The 26,195-nt window shown below is 42.4% G+C and overlaps 1 long non-coding RNA gene and 2 pseudogenes across 2 annotated transcripts, besides 2 other annotated features; 2 read left to right on the top strand and 1 right to left on the bottom strand.

Moving 5' to 3' along the window:
* VN1R48P (vomeronasal 1 receptor 48 pseudogene) lies at nucleotides 1,410-2,346 on the top strand (annotated as a pseudogene).
* Nucleotides 2,500-7,196, bottom strand: LOC105376042 (uncharacterized). Its single transcript, XR_929607.3, has 2 exons — nucleotides 4,766-7,196; nucleotides 2,500-3,095 (listed from the first exon to the last, which is right to left on the bottom strand). It is a non-coding gene; the product is annotated as an uncharacterized LOC105376042 (long non-coding RNA).
* A 9,520-nt stretch (nucleotides 7,197-16,716) lies between these two features.
* Nucleotides 16,717-20,486, top strand: GAS2L1P1 (growth arrest specific 2 like 1 pseudogene 1; annotated as a pseudogene). The gene is made up of 2 exons (XR_007061488.1): nucleotides 16,717-16,869; nucleotides 18,476-20,486. The product of XR_007061488.1 is annotated as a growth arrest specific 2 like 1 pseudogene 1 (transcript).
* Nucleotides 22,486-23,101: an enhancer, noted in NCBI's record as "NANOG-H3K4me1 hESC enhancer chr9:38483743-38484358 (GRCh37/hg19 assembly coordinates)". NCBI's record gives its function as "activates a minimal SCP1, AML or CMV promoter by ChIP-STARR-seq in naive H9 embryonic stem cells {active_cell/tissue: H9 hESC(naive)}" and the evidence as "EXISTENCE:reporter gene assay evidence [ECO:0000049][PMID:30033119]".
* Nucleotides 23,102-23,719: an enhancer, noted in NCBI's record as "H3K4me1 hESC enhancer chr9:38483125-38483742 (GRCh37/hg19 assembly coordinates)". NCBI's record gives its function as "activates a minimal SCP1, AML or CMV promoter by ChIP-STARR-seq in naive H9 embryonic stem cells {active_cell/tissue: H9 hESC(naive)}" and the evidence as "EXISTENCE:reporter gene assay evidence [ECO:0000049][PMID:30033119]".

Below are 26,195 nucleotides of genomic sequence, written 5' to 3'. Positions count from 1 at the left end.
CTGTTCAAGACACTTTTATGTTTTTTAGAAATGTGTTACAGTGTTTTTTTGGTGTGTGTGTTGTTGTTTTTTGTATCTGAGACAGGGTCTTGCCCTGTCGCCCAAGCTGGAGTGTAATGGCATGAAACAGCATCCTGCAGCCTCAACTTCCTGGGCTCAAGCAACCCTCCTGCCTCAGCCTTCCTAGTAGCTGGGACCACAGGCACGCACCATCATGCCCAGCTAATTTTTTTTATTTTTTGTAGAGACAAGGGTCTCACTTTGTTGCCCAGGTTAGTCTCAAACTCCCAGGCTCAAGCGATCCTCCTGTTTTGGCCTCCCAAAGCATTGGGATTACAGGCGTGAACCACAATTCCTGGCCTACAAGTTTTCTTCTTACGGGCTTTGTACATTTCTTGGTAAGTTTATTCCTAAGTATGTTTTATTGCCATTGTAAATGTAGTTATCTCTGCCCTTATAGCTTCTGATTGTAATTTGTATGTGTGAAGGCTATTTATTTTTGTACCATTGTCTTCAAATTTTTAATATGTATTTTAAATTGCTTTGCCAAAGATATCAACACTTAATCCCCATTAGCATTATAGGAAAATTTATTATCTTACTGGACCTTTTCATTTTTGAAGCAGATTAATTTGTAAACTTTTACAAATTGATGAACAAAATTATTTGTTTCCATTTGAATTGATTTAATAACTGAAAAAGTTATTTTTCATGTTTTTATCACTTATAAACCTTCTATAAATTATCTTTAATTTCTCTTTTCCACTTTTCTGTTTCAGCCTCCTGGTATTTTTAAGGAAATGTAAGAGTGTGAATCAGGTACTGATGGTTTTGACTTCATTATGATCAGCATCTTTGGCTTCCATCAGAGTAGACACTGAACGTTTTCATCCAACCGGATGATGAGTGCATTCGTGAGTATTTATTTAGTTCATAATACATGTTCCTGCCACACTCCACTGTAATTTGTTTCAGACTGACTAACATAATGAGAAATCTTACCAAATATAAATGGCACTGCAGATCAAAACCCACTTGATTTTTCTCATTTTATTCTGGGTTCTGGAGAGAGACTAATTATTACTGCCAAAATAAATGTGTGTCATAAGTGAAGGCTTATTTGCTATGGAAATACTCATTATTTCCTATTGGCCTACATCACATCCCAAAATTACCTGTGAACACTGAGAGGGATAATTGGTTACCATGGAATTTTCCAACATGATATTTAATATAGTTCTATTCCTTTTGTATTCCCTTTTAAAGGAACTACATAAGAGATGAAATCCTTTCTCCCTGGGACAGGTATCCTTTTGCGTTCTGCTTTTAATTTACATTTTAATTTGATGTTTTTCAGTCTTTTCAGGCCGAAACATAATATTTGTATCATTCTGAGAGCCTATAACACCATGCTTTCCAGCAATACAATTATGGAAATTTTTTTCCTCTCTCATATTGACATTGGGATTTGGAGGAACTTACTGCTACTCCTGATGCCTATTTACACCTTTTTGATATGTCCCCAGCAGAAGAAGCCCATGGGCTGGCTTTTCCTTCACTTGTCTGTTGCTAATACGATGACACTTCTCCACAAAGTTATTCCATTGGCAGTAAAATCTTTCAATATTAAAAATCTTTTGAATTATACTGGATGTAGGGAATTTGAATTTGTATATAGAGTATCTTGGGGACTTCCCCTATGTACAACATGCCTCCTAAGCATGGTGCAGGCCCTCTGTGGGAGCCCCAGCAAATCCAGGTGGGCGTGGCTGAAAGACAAAATGCTCAAAACACCACTATGCTTCTTCTTAAACTCTGGGTCATCAACAGTCTCATCTACGTCAGGCTTGTGCCGTTTGTTGACACTATCAAATATGGCAGTGTCACCAAGAATCTCTCCATAAAAATGTGTTTAGCTACACCACACATGGGTAACGCAATTGCCGTCTCTCATACGAGTTATCACACTCCAGGACTTAATTTTTCTGGTTCTCATGAGTTGGGCCAGTGGCTACTTTGTGATTTTCCTTCACAGACACCAGAAAAATAATCAACATCTTCACAACAACGGCTGTTCCTCTAGAGCCTCCCATGAGACCGGAACCATCACAACTGCACTGCTGCTTATGATTTGCTTCGTTGTGTTTAATGTGAACAACTCGTGCCACAGCATTTACCTAAGTATGGTGAAGGAAAGGCATCAGTTGTGGACCGTCTCAGATTTGATTTCCTCGTGTTACCCCATATTTTGGTCCATTTTTGCTCATTGGTAGAGAAAGTCTTATCCTGAATTCAAAATCTATGAAGTGGAGAAAGTCGTCTTATCCCATAGATATGTCAAAGTAAACTTTCACCAATATAAACTTCTCCCAAAACAACATTCTATAAAGAGTTGGTATTCTGAAGAAATGATGGGATTTAGGTCTGAAAAATGAGATATTTCTCAGTTCACTGCATGGCATATAATCTAATGACCTTTACCTTCAGTAAAGACGATACTGCATAGCTTAGTATTTAATGTTTGTATACACAGATATAATCGTTTAATAGACAGGTAGATAGATAATTTTTCATGTCAGATGTCATAATGGACTTCTTGCAACTAGTCATTCAATATCCGTATTTTTCTTACTTTAATTACTCTGTGTTCAGCATGAAAAATCATTTCAAAAGGAGATCAGACACTCCAGGAAGCAGAGCATCACTCCCCACTTCTAAACTGTGGGCTTCACATAATGACATCCTACCAAGAACTCAGTATAGCAAAGGAGGAAAAAGAGTAACTTCACGTTGGAGAAACCTAACAAACACTGTCTCAGCCAGGTGATCAAGGCCAGTGTGAGCAGTGATCAGTCAAGTTGAAAGTGTGTATCATACGACAGGATGAGAATGGCATTTTACCTTGACATGTTCCCTCCCAAAACTAATAATCCCACTACATCAGACAAACCTCAGCTGAGAAACAGTTCCCAAAAACACCTGACTAGTACCCCCTAAAACCATCAAGGTCATCAAAAACAATGTAGGCCTGAGAAACGATCACAGCCGGGAAGAACCTAAGGACTCAGTGTCCTGTGGTATCCTGATATGGAATCCTGGAACAGAAAAGGACATTAAGTAAAAACCAAGGAAATAGAAATAAAGTATAAACTTAATAATGTATCAATATTGATTCAATAATTGTGACAAATGTAACATAGTAATGTAAGACATTAAAATGGGGAAAATTGGGTACGGTGTGGAGGAGAACTCTGTGTATTCTATTTGCAACTCTTCTGTAAATTTAAACCTATTTGAAAATTAAAAATTTATTTTTTAAAAAGAAAATTAAGAAACCTATATACTTAAATTTGAGGAAACAAAAATTACTTTCCTTGCCTAAAGTATGTGTTCTACATTTTAGGATTTACCTGAGATCCTAATGAATAGCCTTTTTTAATGTATACAATCTTATGTCACTAATTTAAATGTAAATATTTAAGAGTTAAAAGGTTAAGTCTATTAATTTTATTAACTTGGCCCTTGAAGAAGACTCATATAAGAAAGAGGATGTTTTGACTTAAATTATTTCTGTATAAAGCACTCTTTGATGAGGACAGTACACACTTCATATAATAACCAGCACAAAATAAAATTCCAGATAAATATTCATGCTATCAAGCATGTAAGAAAAAAACAATGCAGGCTTTTGCTTAATATGCTAAAACTTTCTAAGATTTCCCAGAGCCAAGCACATTTGTCTGAAGTTCAGTTTTTAAAAGTTATTTTAACTCTGTCCCCAGCTGACATGGTTGATGAGTTGGAAATGTCATAAATGAAGTCATATTTCAGCAAGTACAGTAGGAACGGAAGAGATAAAGGTCACAGCAATTTTAGTGATGAAAATTTAACTTCATTTAGTACTGTGTTTCAAGTGTTAAGCTAAGATAGAAATATTGTTGGTTTGTCAACATAACAGTATTTTGGTTCCCTGACCCTCTGCTATGTAAACAGCCCTTCCATCTTGCACAAATGCACGCACGCGTGTAAACCTAGAGAAGAGAAGATGATGGTGGTTGCTACGGGTGAGTTGGAGATTTGAGTCTCAGAATTTGGGTACAGGGACTCCTGGTTTTTAAAAGAATGGATTGGGGGAGAAAACTTGAATTTTTAGTCTCTTTTTGTAATACTTCAGGATCTTAAATTCTAATGTCATAAACCCAACTTGAATTAACTTGGGTAAAAGATGACTTTGTTGACTCACAAAAGTCAGAGGAAGAACACAGAGCAGCTATAATGTAGGAGGGTGACAAAATAATTTTGGTTAAAACTAGAGCTAGATAACGGCTGTTGTTATTTCCCAGCTTTACTTCATTTTTTTAATGATACAATATTCTAAATTCCCAGGAAGAAGTTCCAGTTGGCCCCCGATGGAGAAGTGCTCATGTGCGGTCCATCTAGTTGTAGACAGGGAATAAATTCATGTAAGAATCTATTACACCAGCAGGAACCATTTTGGTCAGGTGGAAAATTACCAGATGGGGCTTACCATCTCACAGAGAAAGAGTCTTGGGGTGATGTTCAGGTGATATACAGGCAATGTCTAATTTAGAACTTAGTAGAAAAATTGGCCAGGCACAGTGGCTCACGCCTGTAATCCCAGCACTTTGGGAGACTGAAGCTGGTGTATTACTTGAGGTCAGGAGTTCAACACCAGCCTGGCCAACATGGTGAAACCCTGTGTCTACTAAAAATACAGAAATTAGCCAGGCATGATTACAGGTACCTGTAATCCCAGCTACTTGGGAGGCTGAGCTGGAGGAATCACTTGAACCCGGGAGGCAGAGGTTGCAGTGAGCCGAGATCACGCCACTGCACTCCAGCTTGAGAGACTCCATCTGAAAAAGAAAAATCAGAGGCTAACCCATATGACAACTTTGTCTTATTGGAGCTATTGATGAATGTCTGAGTTTTGACACACTTAAGCAATGATGGAGATCTTGTTGCACTAACAGTGTAAGTTGAAGGCCCTATGACATACTTTGAAGGGAATAGTTCCTTTCTCCAGTTCAGACCATTTTACTTGAGTCAGTCAAGTGCATACACAAGGGGTTTTACAGAAATAAAAATAATTTCATTTATGTACTCACAATATACTTATTAAGTTGTTGACATACTTGAGGCCTGCTCTAGGAACTGGTGATACAATGATGAACAAGATAGGTTATGTCCTTTTCCACATGAAGAACATATTTTAGTTGGTGAAACAGACAATAAAAAAGGAAAACCTATGTGTGTTGTAGAGATTGTGACAACTTTTACATGAAAACAAAAATATAGAAACTGTAAAAGAAAAGGGAAAGGATTTCGCTATAAAACATTAGATACCTTTGAGGGACTAAAACAACCCAAATCGACTAAGAAAATTTATTCACAGTTCATATGTATGATAAAAAAAGCTCTTCCAAGCTGATGAAAAGTCAAAAATCCATTTGAAAAACTGCAAATTATGTGACTAGCACCCAAATATACAGATACATAAAGCAAATATTGACAGATCCAAAGGGAGAAATTGAGTGCAATACCATAATAGTAGGAGACTTCAATTCTCCACTTGTAATAATAGAATATCCAGGCAGAAGAGCAATACAGAAACAGCTGACTTGATCGATGCTATATTCTGAATGGATCCAACAGACACATACAGAACTTCCCACATAATAGCAGAATACACATTCTTCCCAAATGCCCACAAAACTTTCCTAGGATCACATTAGGTCACAAATCAAATCTTAACTAATTTTAAAAAGTTGCAAATCAGCCGGGCGCGGTGGCTTATGCCTGTAATCCCAGCACTTTGGGAGGCTGAGGCAGGTGGATCACAAGGTCAGGAGTTTGAGTCCAGCCTGGCCAATATGGTGAAACCCCGTCTCTACTAAGAAAATGCAAAAATTAGCTGGGCATGGTGGCATGTGCCTGTAGTCCCAGCTCCTCAGGAGGCGGAGGCAGGAGAATCGCTTGAACCTGGGAGGCAGAGGTTGCAGTGAGCCAACATTGTGCCAGTGCACTCCAGCCTGGACAACAGAGTAAGACTCCGTCTCAAAAAAAAAAAAAAAAAGGTTGAAAATCATACCGAGTATCTTTTCCTACCACAATGGAAGAAAATTAGAAACCAATAATGGTAAGAAAACAGGAAAATTCACAAATAGATGGAAACTAAATAATACACTCTTGAGCTACCAGTGGGTCAAAGAGAAAATGAAAAGGAAACTTAAAAAATATCTCAAGATAAACAAAACTGTTTAAATGAATGATGTTGAATCTCAGCTGCTTGCCTGACACTGGAACTAAACTTAATAGGTAGTGTATGAAGCAGACTTCACTGCCTGCCCACTTATCTAAGTGACTGAGTGACTAACTTTATCACCAATCATTTCTGACCTGATGGTCAGGATGACAGGCCGCTGGGTTGTGTAACCCATCCAGTCAGAGAAGTCAGGGGGTGTTGTCAGAGCAAGTTGCTGCCTGTGCTGCTGCTTCATGCCTGGGCTCCTCTGCATTCCAGATCCATGCCCGTCCGCTCGCTTGAGCACACTTACAGATGCTAGGATCAGGTAACCAGCAAATAAATATTGTGAGATGCCTCCAGCCCCTTCCTAACCTAAGAACCATCAGTGACCTGCAGAGAGTCCATGAGCCACTGAGTTTGTGGGTGTGCGCATGTTGCTGTGGTGAGAGCTTATGGTTTCCATCAGATTCTTGATGTCATTGCTAACTTAAATGTCCCAAAATTGTCAAAAAAAACACTACTTAAAAGAGACTCCCCCGCAAAAAATGCTCATGAATATCATAATCTATTCAAAATCCATTTCACAGCCACTGCACTGTATTCTGCTGCTCTCTGGGGTCAAATGAGGGGGAGAAAGAGCAGGACTCTGAGTTCACCCCCGAGCTCCACTTGGAGCTCTGTTGTTCGGGGCGGCCTCTGATTCTTGTTATTCCCACTCAGTGTCCAGAAGGGGAGGTGTGGGCTGAAGTCTTTCAGAGAAAACCCAGGAGAGCCTGACAGCCTGTCTTGCTGACGGCCTCCTTATTCCAGCTGACTGTGACTTCTCCCTTCATGACAGATACTCTTCATTCTCAAGTCAGGGAAAAGGACCCTGATAGGACACCATCCTGTCGGAGCTAACAGACGTGCACCTTTGAGAGTGATCGTTGAGAAGGTAATTTAGATAGATTTCTGTCTCTGAAAACGTCCGTTCATTTGTGTTGTAGAATTACACTCGTGTGTGTTTGTGCTCTGCATAGCAGTGTGTGCATCCTATAGTCTTTTCACAGAAGTGTATGTGTCTGTAAAAACATAGAGTGTAATTTCTGAGCACATAGACACTGAGTAAACTCAGTGTATGATTTAATAACACTTAATCTTTACTAAATGAAACTTGTTACTCATTTTTAAATGTAATACTTTTTGTAAGAAGCAAGTATGAATATGAGAATCAACTTGACCTGTTTCACTGGATAGCACCAACTCAGGATGCTCACACAGGAGCCGTAGAAGGCATCCTTTACCTCTTTCTTCTCCTAACCCCCCAAAACAAAAACTGATTCTTTTCCATTTTTGCCTCTTAGGTACCTAACATTTTTCCTTCCTTCTCTTTATCCCTGAGGCCATCATCTTATTCCAGCAACCTCAGGACTTATTTCAGAAGCCCCTTAACTGCTTCTAATCTGAATTCTTTCAGTCCACTGTTTGCACAACCCCCACAGTGATTCTAAAAGGCTCAATACCTGTGACTACCACTCTGCTGATGACAGTATCATACCAAGCTACTTGCACTCAAAAACAGCTATCAAAATTGACAACATGTGACACAACTCTTTTCAAGCATTGCACACAGCAGGCGTTTGGGGACAGTGATCCTTGAGGGAAGAGAAATGCATGATTTCGGTCCCTCTATCCTCTGTCTCTTTGCTTTATGGACACTTTCCTGCTGTGGCACAATGAGATTAAGTTCAAATGGAGCAATGGTCTTGCTGAGCTGCTGAAGGAATTTGAATCTGGGTCAGGATTAAGAAATGGAATCTCTAGTATGTGGGAAGGAGAGGTGTGGCAAAAGCTTGTTTGGAATTTGTGCTGTTTTTACTCACAACACTTTGGACACCAAATGTGTGGGGGGTTTTCTCACACCAACCAATTATCCAACTCTCCAGACACCAAACACCTGTCCAGTGACTCAGTTCACTTCTGACACTAAGCTCCCAGAGTCAGCATCAGACTCTACAGGAAACGAACTCAGTCCCACAAGTGCCCCCTCACTTCAGATGCCAGTTGCAAGTACTGAGTCCCCAGGTAACCCACCTTTCTGTCCAGCGTGGCTACAAAGTCAGGCGATTCCCAAAGCACTGCACCCTTTCAGGTGTGATAACTTGCTGGAATGGCTCACAGAACTCAGGAAAACACTTTACTTAAGGCTTAATGGTTTATTCTAAAAGATACAACTCAGGAACAGCCAGATGGAAGAGATGCATAGGGCAAGGTATGGGGGGTTCTGTGGAGCTTCCATGCCTCCCCAGGCATGCCACCCTCTCAGCAGCTCAGGGTGTCTGTTTGTCACCCCAGAAGCTCTCTGAATATCATTGTTTGAGCATTTATAGAGGGTTCAATCTTTAGCACCCCTCATCCCTTCCCTGGAGGTTGGATATTAGGGCAGAAAGCTCCAACTCTCTAATAATTTGGTGTTTCTGCGAACTAGTCCCATGCTGAGGCTGTCTTGGGGTTCACCCTAAGTCACCTCATTACCATAAGTTCAGGTGTGATGAAAAGGGGCTTGTTATGAATGACATAAGACACTCTTGTCACTCAGGATATTCTAAGAGTTTAGGAGCACTGTGTCAAGAACTGGGGACAAAGAGCAGATATATTTTTTCATATTATACCACAGATTTCAACATGTAATAGTGAGCAAGAGCAAGTCTAATTACACAGGCTGAGGCTTCCTGAGCCTAGCAGAGGTCATCTGCTTGGGCTGAGAGGTATGTGAGCACTTCTGGCTACTAAGAGAGGAGAGACCTTAAGGAACACCTTGGCATTTCAATGAAACTACAGAAGAGTGAACACTACATCTTAGCAAAAGGACCATGCCCTAAGATTAAGCTCAATGCCATCATAAACCCAGCCTATCAAAGTATGAACAAAGCCACACAAAAAGGGTTTCCAGTAACTCAACTGACTGCCTAAACAAAACTCAAGGTCCTAGAGATGAATAAAAACATAATCCAGAAACCACATAACATCGCATCCTCATTGTCCAGCATCCGGTCATGAACCAGTAGACCTGGGAACCCGGACAATGGAATCCAAAATCCCGGGAGGAAGTACCCGTAAAAATACCTGAGAGGATATAGATCTTGGAATTAGCAGACAGATTTTGAAGGAGCTATTTTGAGTTTACGGACTTAAATATTATTATAAGGAGTGAGCAGATGGGAAATTTCAGTAAGCTAAAAATTTTTTTTAAAAAAAGGAAATCCTTGGCTGGGAGTGGTGGCTCACGCCTGTAATCCCAGCACTTTGGGAGGCCAAGGCGGGCGGATCACGAGGTCCAGAGATTGAGACCATCCTAGCTAACACGGTGAAACCCCGTCTCTACTAAAAATACAAAAAATTAGCTGGGCGCGGTGGTGGGTGCCTGTAGTCCCAGCTACTTGGGAGGCTGAGGCAGGAGAATGGCGTGAACTCGGGAGGTGGAGCTTGCAGTGAGCCGAGATCGCGCCACTGCACTCCAGCCTGGACGACAGAGCGAGACTCCGTCTCAAAAAAAAAAAAAAAAAAGGAAATCCTTGAACTTTAAAGCTGAGTATTTGGAATGAAACGTTACTGAATGGCTTATTTGTGAACTTGAAGATAAATCCATAGAAAGTATCCAAACTGAAAATTGGAGAAAAGAATAGATTGGACAAATGTGAACAGAGACTCAGAAGCACTAATTTCACAAATTATGAAACCTATGTGTAATGAGACACAGGGGAAGGACTAATGGCAAAATCTTTGAAAAAAATAATGGCTAAAGATTCTCAAAATACAGTGGGAAATACCACTTATAGACCCAAGAAGCTCAGTAAAACCCAAAGAAGGTAAATATGAGGAAAACCATATCTAGGCAGAACATAGAAAAACTTTTGAAAACCAGAAAGAAAAAGAAAACCTTAAATACTGAAAGAGGGAATAAAAAGGCAAGCTACCCCATGGAGAACACCATACAAATGACAGCAGGTTTCTCATCAGAAACAGTGGATGCCCAGCTATGAGGGAATGATGTCTTCAAATGATGAAATTTTTTAAAAGTATAAACCCAGAATTCTCTATCAAGGAAATTATATCTCAAAAGTGAGGATGAAATAAAAACATTTAAATAAATAAAAACTAAGATATTTCATTGCCAGCAGATTTGCACTAAAAACAAAAAAACTGAGATAGTTTTTCAATCTGAAGAGAAGTCATATCACACAGCAACTTGGATACATAGAAATGAATGAAGAGCATTAGAAATGGTGAATATATGGATAGGTTTTTTTTAAGACTACATTTTTTCTTAGCTTTTTTGAAAGACAGTTTAAGGCACAAATGACAGGATTATATCCATCATATGGGGTTTATTAATATGTAGCTATAAAATATATCACAACAATGACAAAAAGGACAGTAAATAAGTGGAATTCTATTGTTGAAAGGCTCTTAATGTGAAGTGGTCCAATTTTAACTCTAAATAGATTGCGATAAACTGAGGATACATATTGTAATCCCTAGCATAGCCACTAAAAGAATGCAATGAAGTACAATAAAAATCCAATAAAATAATAAAAATGGAATACTAAAAAAATTTGATTAATCCAAAAGATGGCAAGAAAAGTGAAATAGAGGCCCAAATGAAAAAACAAACAAAACACAGGGGGCAACTAGAAAATGAATTTTTAGGTGGTAATCTTACACTTAATCATATCAAAAATTGTATTCATACTGAAGTGGGGACAGTGGGCATTAACAACCGGTTATTTCAAGAGATAAAAGGTGATATATCACAATCTTAATACAGGTTAATTTCTCCAGGGAACGCAATCATCATAAAGATCGTTATACCTAAAAAGAGAACTTCAAAATACACGATACAAAAACTGAGAGAACAAAAACAAAACATAGACAAATCCACAATGTTGCTTGGAGATTTAACAAGTGTCATAGCGACATCTGTCAACTAGAGTAAACTATAGTGCCCTGTGTTGGTTAATTTTATATGTCAACTTAACTGGGCCACAATGTGCCCAGTTGTTTGGTCAAACGCTATTCTGGGTGTTTCTGCAAGGGTGTTTTTGGGTGAGATAAACATTTAAATTGGTTGACTGAGTGAAGCAGATTGCCCTTCCTGATGTGGGTGGGCCCCATCCAATCAGTGAGAGGCCTGAGGAGAACCAGAAGGCTGACCCACCCCCAAGTAAGGGAGGATTTCTGCTATCTAATGACCTTCAAAGAAAGACAGTGGCTTTCTTTATTTCCTGCCTTTGGACTCAAACTGAAACATTGGCTCTTAGGATATTGACGCTGCTGGCCTGTAGACTGGAACTATACCATTGGCTCTTCTGGTTCTTGGGCCTTAAGACTCAGACTGGAACTACACCATCAGGTCTTCTAGGTCTCCAGCCTGCCAACTCACCCTGCAGATCTTGGTACTCTCCGGTCTCCATAATTGCATGAGCCAACTCCAAATAAGTAAATAGATACTAGATAAGTAACCAAAAATTAGACAAATATCAATTAAGTAAATATACATGTACACACACATATACAGAAATCACAGATGCACAAACACACATACATACACACATACCCTATTGTGCTTTTCTAGAGAACCCTGACTAACACATGCCCAGTTGCTTCAGCAAACACCAGTCTAGATGTTGTGGGGAAGGTATTTTTTAGATGTGATAAGCATAGTTTGAGGCTTTGAGTAAAGGACATTACATTCCACCCTCCATAGTATGGGCAGGCCTCATCCAATCAGTGGGAAGCCTAAAGAGAAAAGATTGAGGTCCCCTCGAGGAGAAAGGAGTTCTGCCTCCAGACTACCTTCAGATTCAAGACTGCAACATACACACACACATCATGATGGTTCTATTTCACTCAACAATGCTAATCCAAAGTTTGCTACCAAGAATAGCTCTACAGGAACAAAATCTTAAGAATAAATTTTCTGGATTGGCTCTGAGGTTTCTGGAATTGGTTCTCTAATCTGATTAGATTTAAAGACATCAATTACTCTATTTCCATTGGTGAAGACAGCACTGGCATGATCTGGCAATAGAGACACACACAATGTCACCATTAGATACTCTTAATCAAAAGCTCATAAAAGGCAAGCTACTGGGTGACCATATATTTAATATGTTATAATATTTTTGTCAAACTAATGAATAGAATAAAATTTGCTACTTGCTTCTAATTGCATTGGGGAAAGAAAAGGATGAGCTCAGGGATTCAGTACAAAGTGTGACCCATGAGGAGGTTCACTACAGATGGATAGATTGCAAAAAATTTCTCCCATTCTGTAGGTTGTCTGTTCACTCTGATGATAGTTTCTTTTGCTGTGCAGAGGCTCTTTAGTTTAATTAGATCCTATTTGTCAATTTTTGGTTTTGTTGCAATTGCTTTTTGCATCTTCGTCACAAAATGTCCTGAATGGTATTGCCTAGATTTTTCTTCCCGTGTTTTATAGTTTCGAGTTTTACATTTAAGTCTTTAATCCATCTTGAGTTGATTTTGTAAGGAAGGGTCCAGTTTCAATTTCCTGCATATGACTAGCCAGTTCTCCTAGCACTATTTATTAAATAAGGAATCCTTTTCCCATTGCTTATTTTGGTCAGGTTTGTCAAAGATCAGATGGTTGTAGGTGTGCAGTCTTCTTTCTGTGCTCTCTATTCTATTGCATTGGTCTTATTCTATTGCATTGGTCTATGTGTCTATTCTTGCACCAGTATGATGCTGTTTTGGTTACTGTAGCCTTGTAGTATAGTTTGAAGTCAGATAGCATGATGCCTTCAGCTTTGTTCTTTTGCTTAGGATTGTCTTGGCTATTGGGGCCCTTTTTTGGTTCCATATGAATTTTAAAATAGTTTTTTTATAATCCTATGAAGAATTTTAATGGTAGTTTAATGGGAATAGTATAGAATCTATACATTGCTTTGGGCAGTATGACCATTTTCAAGATACTGATTCTTCCTATCCAGGAGCATGGATTTTTTTCCATTTCTTTTTGTCATTTCTGGTTTCCTGGAGCAGTGGTTTGTACTTCTCCTTGAAGAGGTCCTTCTCTTCCCTTGTTAGCTGTCTTCCTAGGTATTTTATTCTTTTTGTGGCAATTGTGAATGGGAGTTTATTCATGATTTGGCTCTCTGCTTGCCTGTTTTCGGTGTACAGGAATAATTGTGACTTTTGCACATTGATTTTGTATCCTGAGACTTTGCTGAAGTGGCTTATCAGCTTAAGAAGCTTTTGGGCTGAGACAATTGGGGTTTTCTAGATATAGGACCATATCATCTGCAAGCAAAGATAGTTTTACTTCCTCTCTTCCTATTTGAATACCCTTTATTTCTTTCTCTTGCCTGACTGCCCTGGCCAGAACTTCCAATACTACGTTGAATAGGAGTGGTGAAAGAGAGTATCCTTGTTTTGTGCCAGTTTTCAAGGGGAATGCTTCCAGCTTTTGCCCATTCAGTATGATATTGGCTGTGGGTCTGTCATATATGGCTCTTATTATTTTGAAGTATGTTCTTTCAATACCTAGTTCATTGAAAGTTTTTAACATGAAGGGATGTTGAATTTTATCAAAGGCCTTTTCTGCATCTATTGAGATAATCATATGGTTTTTGTCTTTAGTTCTGTTTACGTGATGAATCACATTTATGGATTTGTGTATGTTGAACCAATCTTGCATTCTGGGGATGAGGCCAACTTGATTGTGGTGGATAAGGTTTTTGATGTGCTTCTGGATTTGGTTTGCCAATATTTTATTGAGGATTATTGCACCAATGTTCATTGAAGATACTGACCTGAAGTTTTCTTTTTCTGTTGTATCTCTGCTAAGTTTTGGTATCAGGATGATGCTGGCCTCATAGAATGCATTAGGGAGGAGTCCCTCCTTTTCAACTATTTGGAACAGTTTCAGGAGAAATGATACCAGCTTTTTTTGTACCTCTGCTAGAATTCAACTGTGACTCCATCCGGTCCTGGGCTTTTTTTGATTGGTAGGCTATTTATTACTGCCTCAATTTTAGAACTCATTATTGGTTTATTCAGGGATTCAATTTCTTCCTAGTTCAGTCTTGGGAGGCTGTATGGGTCCAGGAATTTATCCATTTCTTCTAGATTTTCTAGTTTATGCACATAGAGGTGTTTATAGGATTCTCTGATGGTTGTATTTCCGTGGGGTCAGTGATGATATCTTTCTTATCATTTCTGATTATATTTATTTGAATCTTCTCTCATTTCTTCATTAGTCTAGCTAGTGGTCTATTTTATTAATTTAAAAAAAAACAGCTCCTGGATTCATTGATTTTTTTGAAGGATTTTTTTGTGTGTTTCTATCTCCTTCAGTTCAGCTTGGATCTTGGTTATTTCTTGTCTTTTGCTAGCTTTGGGGTTTGTTTGCACTTGGTTCTCTAGTTCTTTTTGTTGTGATGTTAGGTTGTTAGCTTGATATCCTTCTAGCTTTTTGATGTGGGCATTTAGTGCTATAAATTTCCCCTTGACACTGCTTTAGCTGCATCCCAGAGATTCTGGTACATTGTATCTTAGTTCTCAATAGTTTCAAAGAACTTCTTGATTTCTGCCTTAATTTCATTAATCAACAAGAGTCATTTAGGAGCGGGTTGTTTGATTTCCAGGTAGTTGTGTGATTTTGAGTAAATTTCTTAATCTTGAATTCTAATTTGATTGCACTGTGGTCTGAGAGAATGTTTGTTATGATTTCATTTCTTTCACATTTGCTGAGGAGTGTTTTACTCCTGATTATGTGGTCAATTTTAGAGTAAATGCCATGTGGTAATGAGAATAATGTATATTCTGTTGTTTCTGGGTGAAGAGTTCTGTAAATATCTGTCAGGTCCACTTGATCCAAAGCTGAGTTCAGGTCCTGAATATCTTTGTTAATTTTCTGTGCTCTCTTAACTAATATGGTTAAATCTTCATTGAGACCATTAACAAACATGGAGTTAAGTGCTACTTAAGTGGCATCAGTCTGTTCTTTTGAGAAACCAGAATTTTACTTAAATATTACTTTCTAGTTTATTGGAATAACCATGAACTAGTCTGCCTTCTCTCTGAGCACAAGCCAAAATTTTATTCCAATCTACTGGCTTTGGAAAAGCCATGAGAGTAACTTTAATTAATGTGTCAACCAATTATTTGGCTTTTTCTATATCTTGGAGCAAATTTTGATTTAAATCATCAGAAGAGGCCAAATGTGAGTGGTGTGTGCCTATAGTCCCAGCTACGCAGGGGACTGAGGTGGGAGGATCATTGAACTCAGGAGTTCAAAACCAGCCTGAGCAACATAGTGAGTCACCATATCTAAATAAATAAATAAATAAATCATCAGAAGGATTTTCCCATCCTGACAATTTTTACCCAATGTCTCTCTCCTCCTGGTCCCACCAGTAAATGTATCAGCTGATAGAAATTGAAAACTCTAGGACATAACTTGTACAGACCGTCGAGAATTCCTCGGCAAATCTGAGAGGTCCTCAGTCACCTTGGCAAATCATTTGGCTGTTGCATCACAGGCAACTCAGAACTGGACCAGAGTGTAAGACACCATCAGTAAATTCTCTTTTTTATTTGGGGAGTATTGGAAGGGGTATGTAGGAATTGGGACAGGGGTAGGGAAGGCCATCGTAGGGGTTGCTAGTCAGTTTTGGTTCAGCTGTTTTAGGTGGCTGTAAAGGGGAGGGAATAGGAATGTCGGAGTTCTGCCGGCGGGGCATATGATGAGGTTGAGCGTGAATGTTCTCCTGAAGATTTGATTTGATTTGGTTATTATTTTTTGTGACAGTGTCTTACTATATTTAGCCCAGGCTAGACTTGAACTCCTAGGCTCAGTGATCCCCCCGCCTCAGTCTCCTGAGTTGCTGGAATTGCAGGAACATGCGTGCCCAGCCTCCTGAAGATTTTTATTTAAATGCTCGTTTCCTTTTACTAATTTAGAAACAGTGTCTTGGGAAAACTCTTTTAGATTTCATGGTCTTTTTTATGTGTATCCCTTCTGAATGCTAATTAAAGTATGCTTCCCATGCATTCTGAGAAGTGCAAACCTTTTTATTTCCAAGATGGTATCTTAAAAAAAAAAATAAAAAAAAAAATATATATATATATATATGTTTGGAAAGGTCAAATGAGCCTCCAAGGGGCCACTGTAACTCCAAACTCTGGTCCTTGTCTTTACAAACTGTGAATAGGTTTTTCCTGACCCACTGATGCAAAAGGACTCTTCTACTAACAATTAAAGAATTCTTTGTTTATGAAATAATCTGGCAAACAATTTATGTAATCTAAATAAGTTTCTATCAGTGTGAGCCCTTGCTCTCTTGGGTGGTACAGTTTCTGATTGGTACCCAGGTTGCAGCCCACATTCCTGAGTAAACACTTATTGGCCTGACCGGCTAATTCCTCCTTTTTGTTAGTGGGGAAGCCATGTGACTTCATCCTCCGTGGCTCTGGTGGTCTCTTCCACATCTGTGAGATACTCACTAAAAGCTGGTTGCACTTTGAGATCTGGGCACCTGCTGGAACCTGGAGCCACAAGTCTTCATTCATGCTAAAGAACTCCTGTCTTGGTGGAGGTATTTGCCTTTGTTTGAGTTTCTTGGTAGGGCTCTCCATCTTTTTGCTTGCTCTCGCTTTGTTTTAAGTTCTGACAAGGTGAGAATGGGAGCCTCTGCTTCCAAGCAAATTGAAAGTCCCCCCTGTCCAGGGACTCCAGCTGGTTACATGTTTAAACATGATGGCCCTCTTCTTGTTCGTTTTATCTAAATGACACAATTTCACTAACCAGAGTTTGGAGTTACAGTGGCCCGTTGGAGGCCTTGTATAATGTGTTGTATACTGTTAAGAGCACAGCTGCTGGTGAAGAAAGTGTTTCTCACAGTTCCTTTGTGGGCCTCAGAGTTCCCCAGCAGTTCAGTATGGAGTCAGCCCTGATGACAGGACTCCCTGATGTCAAGCCTGCAAGGGTGTTAAGCTCACGCTAGTCAGGCCTCTCTAAGCCCTTAAGGTACCAACCTGGGGCTCTGACCTTGGCCTGCTTATTCAAGACTCTGTTGAGTCAAAATAGGCAAAATTCCCACCACTACCAAGGTCTCTGATCACCCTTGATATCTAATCAAATTCCTCAGCCCCTACCCTCAATATCGTTATCATCCCGGCCCGCCGTTAGGAGGCCGCAGCGGCCCGACAGATCCAGCTGTGGCTTGCAGGCGCCTCCCTGCTGCGGGCTGGGCCTGGCTCCTGCCCCTGCAGGGGCCATGCTCCCCGGGGCCGGTGGATGAACCAGGAGAGTGGGGAAACCCCCAGCACTCCCTGCCCAGAGCCAGACAGCAGCGTTAGCAGCCTCTGTTCCCTGGGGCTGTGTGACCTTGAGCGGCCCTGCACCCCCTCTGGGCCTGGGCCATCAGTTCTGGCCCCACAAACGACGGCCTGCGGTTCTGGGGCGCTGCTTGCTGAGGGGGGTCTGGCTTTCGCGGCTTGGCTGCTGGATCGCCGAGATAGGCCGCGCGGCGCAGCCTGGACGCCCTGGCTCCACCCACAGCTCTGAGACCTCCAGCGAGCTCTTACCCTTTCCGCACCTCAGTTTCCACACCTGTAAAATGGAGATAATATCACCACGCACTCAGCCCTAACCACTTCATTGCTGTTACTGATACCATTACTGCTGCTATGTCGTTTTTTGATGGCACTGCCCTTAGGGAAGGGGGATCAAGGGAAAAACCGGTACCTTCCCGCAGGAGGTGGGCTGGGCACAGCCCTGAACCATGGAGGTCTCCCACCCTGAGGTCGGGACCTGGGTTCCCTTCCTATCCACTGGGGGTCCCAGTCGTTGTCTTCATCTCTCCAGGTCCCAGCCCTTCACAGTGGGCACCTCTCTGCCTGTGAGGGAGGCCTCAGCCAGCCCCTAATCCCCTCTCCAAAAAAAAAAAAAAAGGCTGCGTAGCCAGTATTTACAGACGCTAAGTTGCTTATTAAAAATTATCCCATTGAATCCTACCAAGCAGGTAATTTACTGTACCCATTTCTCAGATGAGGAAACTGAGGCACTGAGGTTTCTCAGAGCCAGCAGGTAAACCAGCCATTCGGCCTGAGTGACAGGCCGGTGCAGTGCTCTGCGGCTTAGTCTGCTCTGAGCGCCTGCCGGATCCTCACAGCGATCCTGGTTTGTACCCCCGCCCACAGTGGCTCGGCTGGCCCGTCTATGGGAACCCATGAGGCTGTCTGCATATCCCGAAGTGTGACCTTCCAGGCCCACAGGGTGGCTGGCGCTGCGCTTCTTCGTGGCCCGCGACAGTGCGGCCACCTTCATCGGCCAGTGGCGCACTGATCTGGGCGAGCCCGAAATGCTCCGCGAGCTGGCGAGGGAGACACTGGGCCTCTGCACCCGGTCAGCTCCCCAAGATAAAGGCCTCGGAGGGGAAGTTCCGCGTGGGAGACTCCGGCCTGTTGATCTCTGTGAGGGTGCCCGGGAGCCGCCTGACGGCGCGCCTGGGTGTGGCGACCCGCTGGAGCGCTACCTGGACAGTCAGGACCCGCGCCGCCGCTCCTCCACCACCCACCGCCCGCCCCCGTCGAGGGTCCGCACCCTGTCCCCGCAGAGGGTGTCGCCCACCCCTAGCCCCTGCCCTGGTAGCCTGGTCCCCGCGAGAGAGCGCCGGCGCTCCGGACCCTAGGTGACCCCTATTCGCTTACAAAGCATAAAGCAGGGGCCGAGGCTCCCAGGCCCTGGGATCAGCTGCCCGCCGCATCCCCGCTCCTACTCTGAGGACAGTGACTCCTCAGCTTTCTCAGCCCAGAGCCGCCCCCTTGGTGCCCGCAGCGAGGATGAGGCACTAGGCCGGGAGGAAGAGACCCAGACGGGGGCTGACCACCACCACCTGGCCTCTCCGAGACGGCCCCCTGCCCCGCGCAGCCAGTCCCGGGACGGGCTGGATCCGAGTCGGCCCCGGGGAGCTCCAGGAGAGAGGGGAGCCCAGCTGCGGCCCTCAGCCCTGCCCGGTGGGCGCAGGAGCAGACTGGGCTCAAGGATGGAGATGGGCAGCACTCGTGGGAGCCACAGGGCAGGGGCAGCGGGGCTCGGGCAGGAGCACCCCTGGGCTCTCCATGCCCACCGCCCTGAAGCACCCTGGCTTTCCCAGTCCAACCCCAGTTTAGAGTTTAGCACCACACGCGCCAGCGTCTTCCGCACACACCAGAGCAGCTGCTCTGACGCCTGGACAAGGAGTTTCTGGCCAATGCCGGGACCCATAAGGCTGTTGCTGGCGGGACCCCCACTGGACCAGCCCCTAACCGGGCTCCAGCCCCAGACCCTCTAGCTCCTGACTCGGCCTACAGATCCTCCAGTTCCTCCTTTTCATCCCTTATTCTCTTATGTGGCAAACGTGGCCAACCTGGGGACTCTGGCCTTAAGACCAACGGGCTGCCCGGCCCGCTGTCAAGCCCTTCCCAGCTCCTCCTCCGATGAAGGAAAGCCCTGCCCTGGCATGGGAGGGGCTACTAGATGCACCTGGGAGCCCCCTGACTGGTCCAGAACACTGGAGGACCTGAGCACTGGGTAGGATGGACACACAGCCAGACTGCAAACCCTCAGGCATCCCCATGCTTAGGGTCTCCCCCCGGTTCCTCCAGACACACAGAGTTGGAGGGTGCGGGGGGAAGGGGAAGGGAGCTTGCATGCCTCCAGCCAGGTTCCTGGACCAGCCCAGCTGCCCCCAAACCCTATCCCTTCTCCTTTTCGTTTGTGGCCTTAACCCCCTCTGCATCAGGGGGCCCTCTCTGCCTCTTGCGTTCCTGACCTCATGGGACCAGACTCCTCAGGAATGTCACAATGGGACCTCTATTGTACATTACAGTTGGGGGATGAGCTTTGCTATTTAATCGCTAATATTATTGAATGCCTTAGAGGAGGGCAGAGCAGCCTGGTATCCTGAGGACACGTGGCCCAGCAGAGCCCCTGAACAGTAAAGTTTTGCTCCAGCCAAAATGAGAGAGAGAATCTATTAAGTTAGTTTAACCAGAACCCCCCTTATCCCTGATGCTTCCTCTTAGTAATTTTGTGTCCAGTGACCCCTGTCCCTTGGCCATAAATTCCTACTTGTACTTGTTCTATTTGGAATAGAGCCCAGTTCTGTACTGATGTCTCTTTTCCCCTACTGAGATAGCTTCTGAATAAAAGTTGCCTTTGCTGCTTTAACTTCTGTCTGACACTGGTTTTCTTTGACAATAGTCTGCCCTGCCCCGTGATCTTGCCTCGGCCGTCAGTCTGAATTCAAAACATTCTCCGCAGCTAGGAAAGGCAGCACAGGGGGGGTTTCTTCCACAGGAGGAGACAGCTTTCAGGAACGGCCTTGAACAACAGAGATCACGAATGCCTTCCCCCTTCCTGGACCTTCCAGATACTAGGATTTTGTTTTTTCTCTCATTATTGCAAAATCAGTGTGTCCTTTTCAGCAATCATAACTTTACATTTTTGAAATCATACCTTACTTTCATTCAGACATGTCGTCAGGAAGGATTGTCTGGAAGAGGAATAAAAACATTGTCACAGGAAAACATTATTATGCAATTTAAAAGACACGCCATGTTCAGAAATTAGGACAAAATCTTGAATTTAAAAAAAAATTCAAGGCCGGGTGTGGTGGCTCACACCTGTAATCTCAGCACTTTGGGAGGCCGAGGCGGATCACGAGGTCACAAGATCTAGACCATTCTGGCTAACATGGTGAAACCCTCTCTCTACTAAAAATACAAAAAATTAGCCGGGTGTGGTGGCGGGCACCTACATGTAGTACCAGCTACTTGGGAGGCTGAGGCAGGAGAATGGCGTGAACCCAGGAGGCGGAGTTTGCAGTGAGCAGAGATGGCGCCACTGCACTCCAGCCTGGGCAACAGAGCCAGACCCCATCTCAAAAAAAAAAAAAAAATTCAACATGGGTTTAAACAGATCAGCTTGCTTTACTGAAGTGCGTACACCAGGAGAAACATAAGGAAGGCTGTTGTTGCAAGCTGCAAGTAATCCAGAAAGCCAAATAAAATAATCAACAGACAGCAGCAAGACCCCCAAAGGGGGTCAAGAGTCCAATCTGCCAGGAGTGGGCAGGGAGTTCAGAGTCCCTGTGATGTGTCCACCCCAAACTTGTTTGGGGCAGAAATCACAAGTTTAGGAATGAAACTAGTTTTTGGGTCAGACATATGAGGCTGATCAGAAGTGTGATTGCAGATGGTCCCATAAGAGAACAAGCCCTTTCTTGTGGGCATTTGTGTGTGATGCACACAGTCTAGCCAGCATCCATGAAGTTTTCATAGTTTGGGATCCCATGCAGGCATGTCCTAATCTGCAATGATACCAGAGTCTGAGTTCTGTTTATTGTGCTTACAGAGTTTTTCGTTCAGCACGGTTTGTGCTGAGGCTGAAACAGCCAGCAGCAGATAGTATAAGGTTTCATCTCAGAGTCAGGTCCAGGCAATTAGGATCTGTGAGTTAGGATTCCCCACAAAAAGCCAACAGCTTTTGTTCCGCTGTAGCAAAGCCAAAGCCCTGAAGAGTGGGAAAGCAGTGTTGCTGGTCCCAGTGACGGGCAAGGCTTTCCTAAGCCCTGTTTGGCTTGTTATTTGCTGAGTCCAAATGGACCCACTCAAAAATATGCTCAGAGGCCAGAAAATTATCAGCCTCTAAGGCGCAGGCATCTGATCTTACAAGAGCTCATTAGGAACTAAAAACTAATATTTAAAATTCTAAAAGTGTATTAGAGAGTGCCTGTCTTTTCATATTGTCTCCCTTTTATCAGAGGCTCCCATAGGTGAAAATCATACTAAAAATTGTCAGTTATAGAAATTATTTTCCTTTTAATACTCAAAAACTTGCATTTCAATTCCCTCACCAGCAGCAGCAAGCAAGGCAGTTGTATACCATCCTGGGTTTTGTTTGCTTTTGGCAGCTTTCCTGATCAGGATGATTCCTCCAATGTTTATGAAATTACAAGCATAGAATATGTTTCTTATCATCTATCTAGATGCAGTAGCCATAAGACACAAAGCCAGCTTTTAAAAACTCCCTTTCATTTCAAGTTTTTAAAATTTTCCATTCCATTGCAAGTTTACGCAAACCTCCAACAGTGCAATTAGCATTTGAGAGTTAACATGGAATGGGGGATGGGAGGCTCTCGCATCTGAAATGGGTTTTTCTTTTCTTTCTTCTTCTTTTTTTTTCTTGTTTTTAGAAGTTTTTCTTTTTTCCAGTTTATCTAATGCTTTGCCCCAGCCCTAGTACCTAATTTAACTTTTTGTAGAAGAGAACAGCACAAACTTTTAGCATTTTAGGTCCACCTGAAATTCACCTTTGGGAATGCTTGGGCCCCTTCTTTTCCTACCTGGAGGGAAAAATAAAAACCTAAGGCAACACCTGGGCTTTTTGTTTTTTGCCCAACTGGCAGGTGTTTACCAATTTACTCTTCCACTGCCAGGATTTGAAAGAACACAGGCTTTCCACGCAAGTTTCCCTTTAGAGGTTGGAGAATGTGCTGTGCACTGTTGAGAATATGACGCTACACTGTTTTGTATTTATCTTTTCTTAATAAATATATGTAACGTAACATTTGCCATTATAAGTATTTCGAGTTACAATTCAGTGGCATTAACGACATTTACAATGTTGTACAGCCATCACTGCTATCTATTTCGAAAATTTTTTCAAGAATGACTACACCCCAGATCTGAAGCTATTCTGGAGCAAAAACACACATCAGGATGGCACTTCCATCACTCACATACACACACGCTGCAGACCCCAGCTTCTATTGTTCATATACACACACCCTGCAGACCCCAGCTTCCATAGCTCACATACACACACGCTGCAGACCCCAGCTCACATCGCTCACACACACGCACCCTGCAGGTCCCAGCTCACATCTCTCACACACATGCACCCTGCAGGTCCCAGCTCACATCTCTCACATACACACAACCCTGTAAACCCCAGCTTCCATCGCTCACACACACACACCCTGCAGGTCCCGCTTCCATCGCTCACATACACACACGCTGCAGGTCCCAGCTTGTAGTGGAGGTGATTTTGTTTCCTGTGATTCCTTAAAACTCAGGAAGTCTGCTCCAAGTTCTCTTCCCCAGTGGAATAACATTACAGTGCCCTCCTTGACAAGGAAATTTTAGTGATTGGCACCTGCTTTGGCTCTTACTCATTGTGAAAAGTGGTGATTTCACAACTGTGATAGTTATCTATTGCTGCATAAAAACTACAACAAACTTGGCGGCTCAAAACAACACACATTTCTTATCACACAGTGTTTATGAATGAGGAGTCCAGGCACAGCTTAGCAGATCCTCTGCTCAGGGGCCCCCCTGAGGCTGTAATCTGGGTGTCTGATAGGCTGGACGAGGGAAGAATCTGTTGTTGGCAGAATTTCAGCTCCACGGGCTGAAGGACTGAGGGCCTCAATTTCCACTTCTCTTGACAAGAGGCTGCCCTCGGTGCCCTGCCCTTTGGACACGTGGACCCTCTAAGTTCAGTGCAGTGAGTAGGAGCAGACATGTGAGCACTGGAGTGCTTTAGAGAGGTATTCTTGGATAAAAAGCACTGATGTCTAAAGACATGGAATTATCGTTCTCAACAGAGCAACATCAGTACTGAGAAGGCAAATTCATCATCTACTGGTACCTACTTCTATGCCTGCAATAGCTATTTTTGTCTCAATTTTAAAATTATTCTTTAGCTTCCCAGCTGCTAGAAGTGGAACAGTTATCTTTGCGAATGAAAATGACTAACCCCTCCTGACAATTCCAACTCCCTCCCAACCAAGGCTCAATATTTCTCATTTGTTTTACTTTCAAAGGAATATATATGATTGTAAGACCAGGCATCCGTGGCTCACACCTGTAATCCCAGCACTTTGGAAGGTTGAGGCGGGCAGATCGCCTGAGGTCAGGAGTTCAAGACCAGCCTAGCCAACAGGGTGAAACCCCATCTCTACTAAAAATACAAAAAATTAGCCAGGTGTGGTGGTGCGTGCCTGTAATCCCAGCTTACTCAAGAGGCTGAGGCAGAAGAATCACTTGAACCCGGGGGACACAGGTTACAGTGAGTCAATGTTGCTCCACTACACTCCAGCCTAAGGAACAGAGTGAGACTCTGTCTCAAAATATATATATATATATATATGATTGTAAAATGACTTCAATACAACTGTCAATACAACAGTGTAAGGCATATTGTTAAAGAAAAAAAGTGCTAAACCAAATATAATATGTACCTTATGGTGGGAAAGAAAAAGAGAGAATAAGAAGCTGTATTTCTACTTGGTTTGGTATGCATAAATATATCTGGAAGGGTGAATAAAGAAACCAACAAAGCATATTATAGGGGTGAGGGTGGAGAAGTGACCCAGATGTTTTCAAACCTTTCATTTGTTATATTTTTTTGAAGAGGTATGGAACCAGCAATTTACCTGTTGAAAAAAAGTACTTTGTTTAAATTACGACAAAAAGGCCTGACACAGCAACTCATTCCCGTAATCCCAGCGCTGTGGGAGCCTCAGGCAACAAAAATTAGCCAGATGTGGTGATGTACGCCTATAGTACCAGCTACTCAGGAGGCTGAGGCAGGAGGATTGCTTGAGCCCGGGAGGCAGAGGATGCAATGAGTCGAGATCGCACCACTACACTCCAGCCTGAGCAACACAGTGAGACCCTGTCTCAAATTTTAAAAATAAATAAATAATAAATAATTTTAAAAATTAAAAAATTGTTCCCTACACAGCATCCTAATGTCCCTATCAATGCTAGAGATCATTCCCAATATTCTTATAGCAATTTCCAGCCAGGGCTTCTCAGCCTCAGTCCTATTGATTTTGAAGCCAGTTAATTCTTTGTTACGAGTTGTTTATCAGCATCCCTGGCCTATTCACCCAGGCATGAAAATCAAAAATGTCTATTGACATTGCCAAATGTCCCCTGGTCTGAAATCTCCCTGAGTTGAAGACCACTTTACTAGACTCTCTCTATGCATATTGCTACATCTGCATATCAAAATACACATATATGGTAATTTGCAGCATTTTTCATAGCTTTTCTTCATTCTTAAATTCATTCTTCCAAAAATATACTTTATTTTTGAAAACGATAAAACAAAATCTTCAACTATGAACTAACAAAATAGAGGTGAGTTGGCACCGGTGGGCCAATTCTTAACGTGGACATTTTAAAATGCTGTTTTCCATATTACATCAAAATGATCTGCAATAAGAAATTGAAAGGGGGTGCAAAGGAGGGTGCAAAGCATGTACTGAGGTCTTTCTACAGGTACGTGATAGAAGGCTGATTCAGCATGATAAAATGTACTTTGCAACAGCGGCCTTCAAGCTGTGCTAGAGCAAGCGTACCCCAAGGAACCTGTGAAAATCATTTTTTAATTATTCTAAACAGAAAAAGTGGTACCCACTTAAATAAGCACAAAGTAAAACTTCATGGTAAGATCTGCTGTAAAGCTACTTGCTATAGCCCACAGATTCAGTTTGTTCAACAACCTCCTTCATTGACAGAAAAAGTCAGCAAATAAGACTTAGGACAAAAATATTTTCTATCAACCTCCACACGAAAAGACCACAGCTTTAATGATTTTTACAATCCTTAAGCTTAATCACTGGTCAGTACAGATTTCCATATCAAGATCAAGTCATGAACTGTTCACAATAGCTATTCTATACTAAGATGCTAAGCGTTTTCTTTCCAGTATGTCTTCCTATGAGGGAAATAAAATAGCGGGAAGTTTTCCTCTTCGCCTGTGAGGGGATTTATGAAAAGCCTTCTAATCTACAAGTGTTCTTCTGCGAAACTAAAATACATTATGAAGTCAAACAGGTAAATTATCAACAAAACCAAACTGATC

This window comes from Homo sapiens, chromosome 9 (assembly GCF_000001405.40).
Source record: "Homo sapiens chromosome 9, GRCh38.p14 Primary Assembly".
NCBI lineage: Eukaryota > Metazoa > Chordata > Mammalia > Primates > Hominidae > Homo > Homo sapiens.
Note: the sequence above shows the minus strand (reverse complement) of the source record. Positions and strands in the feature narration are given on the sequence as shown.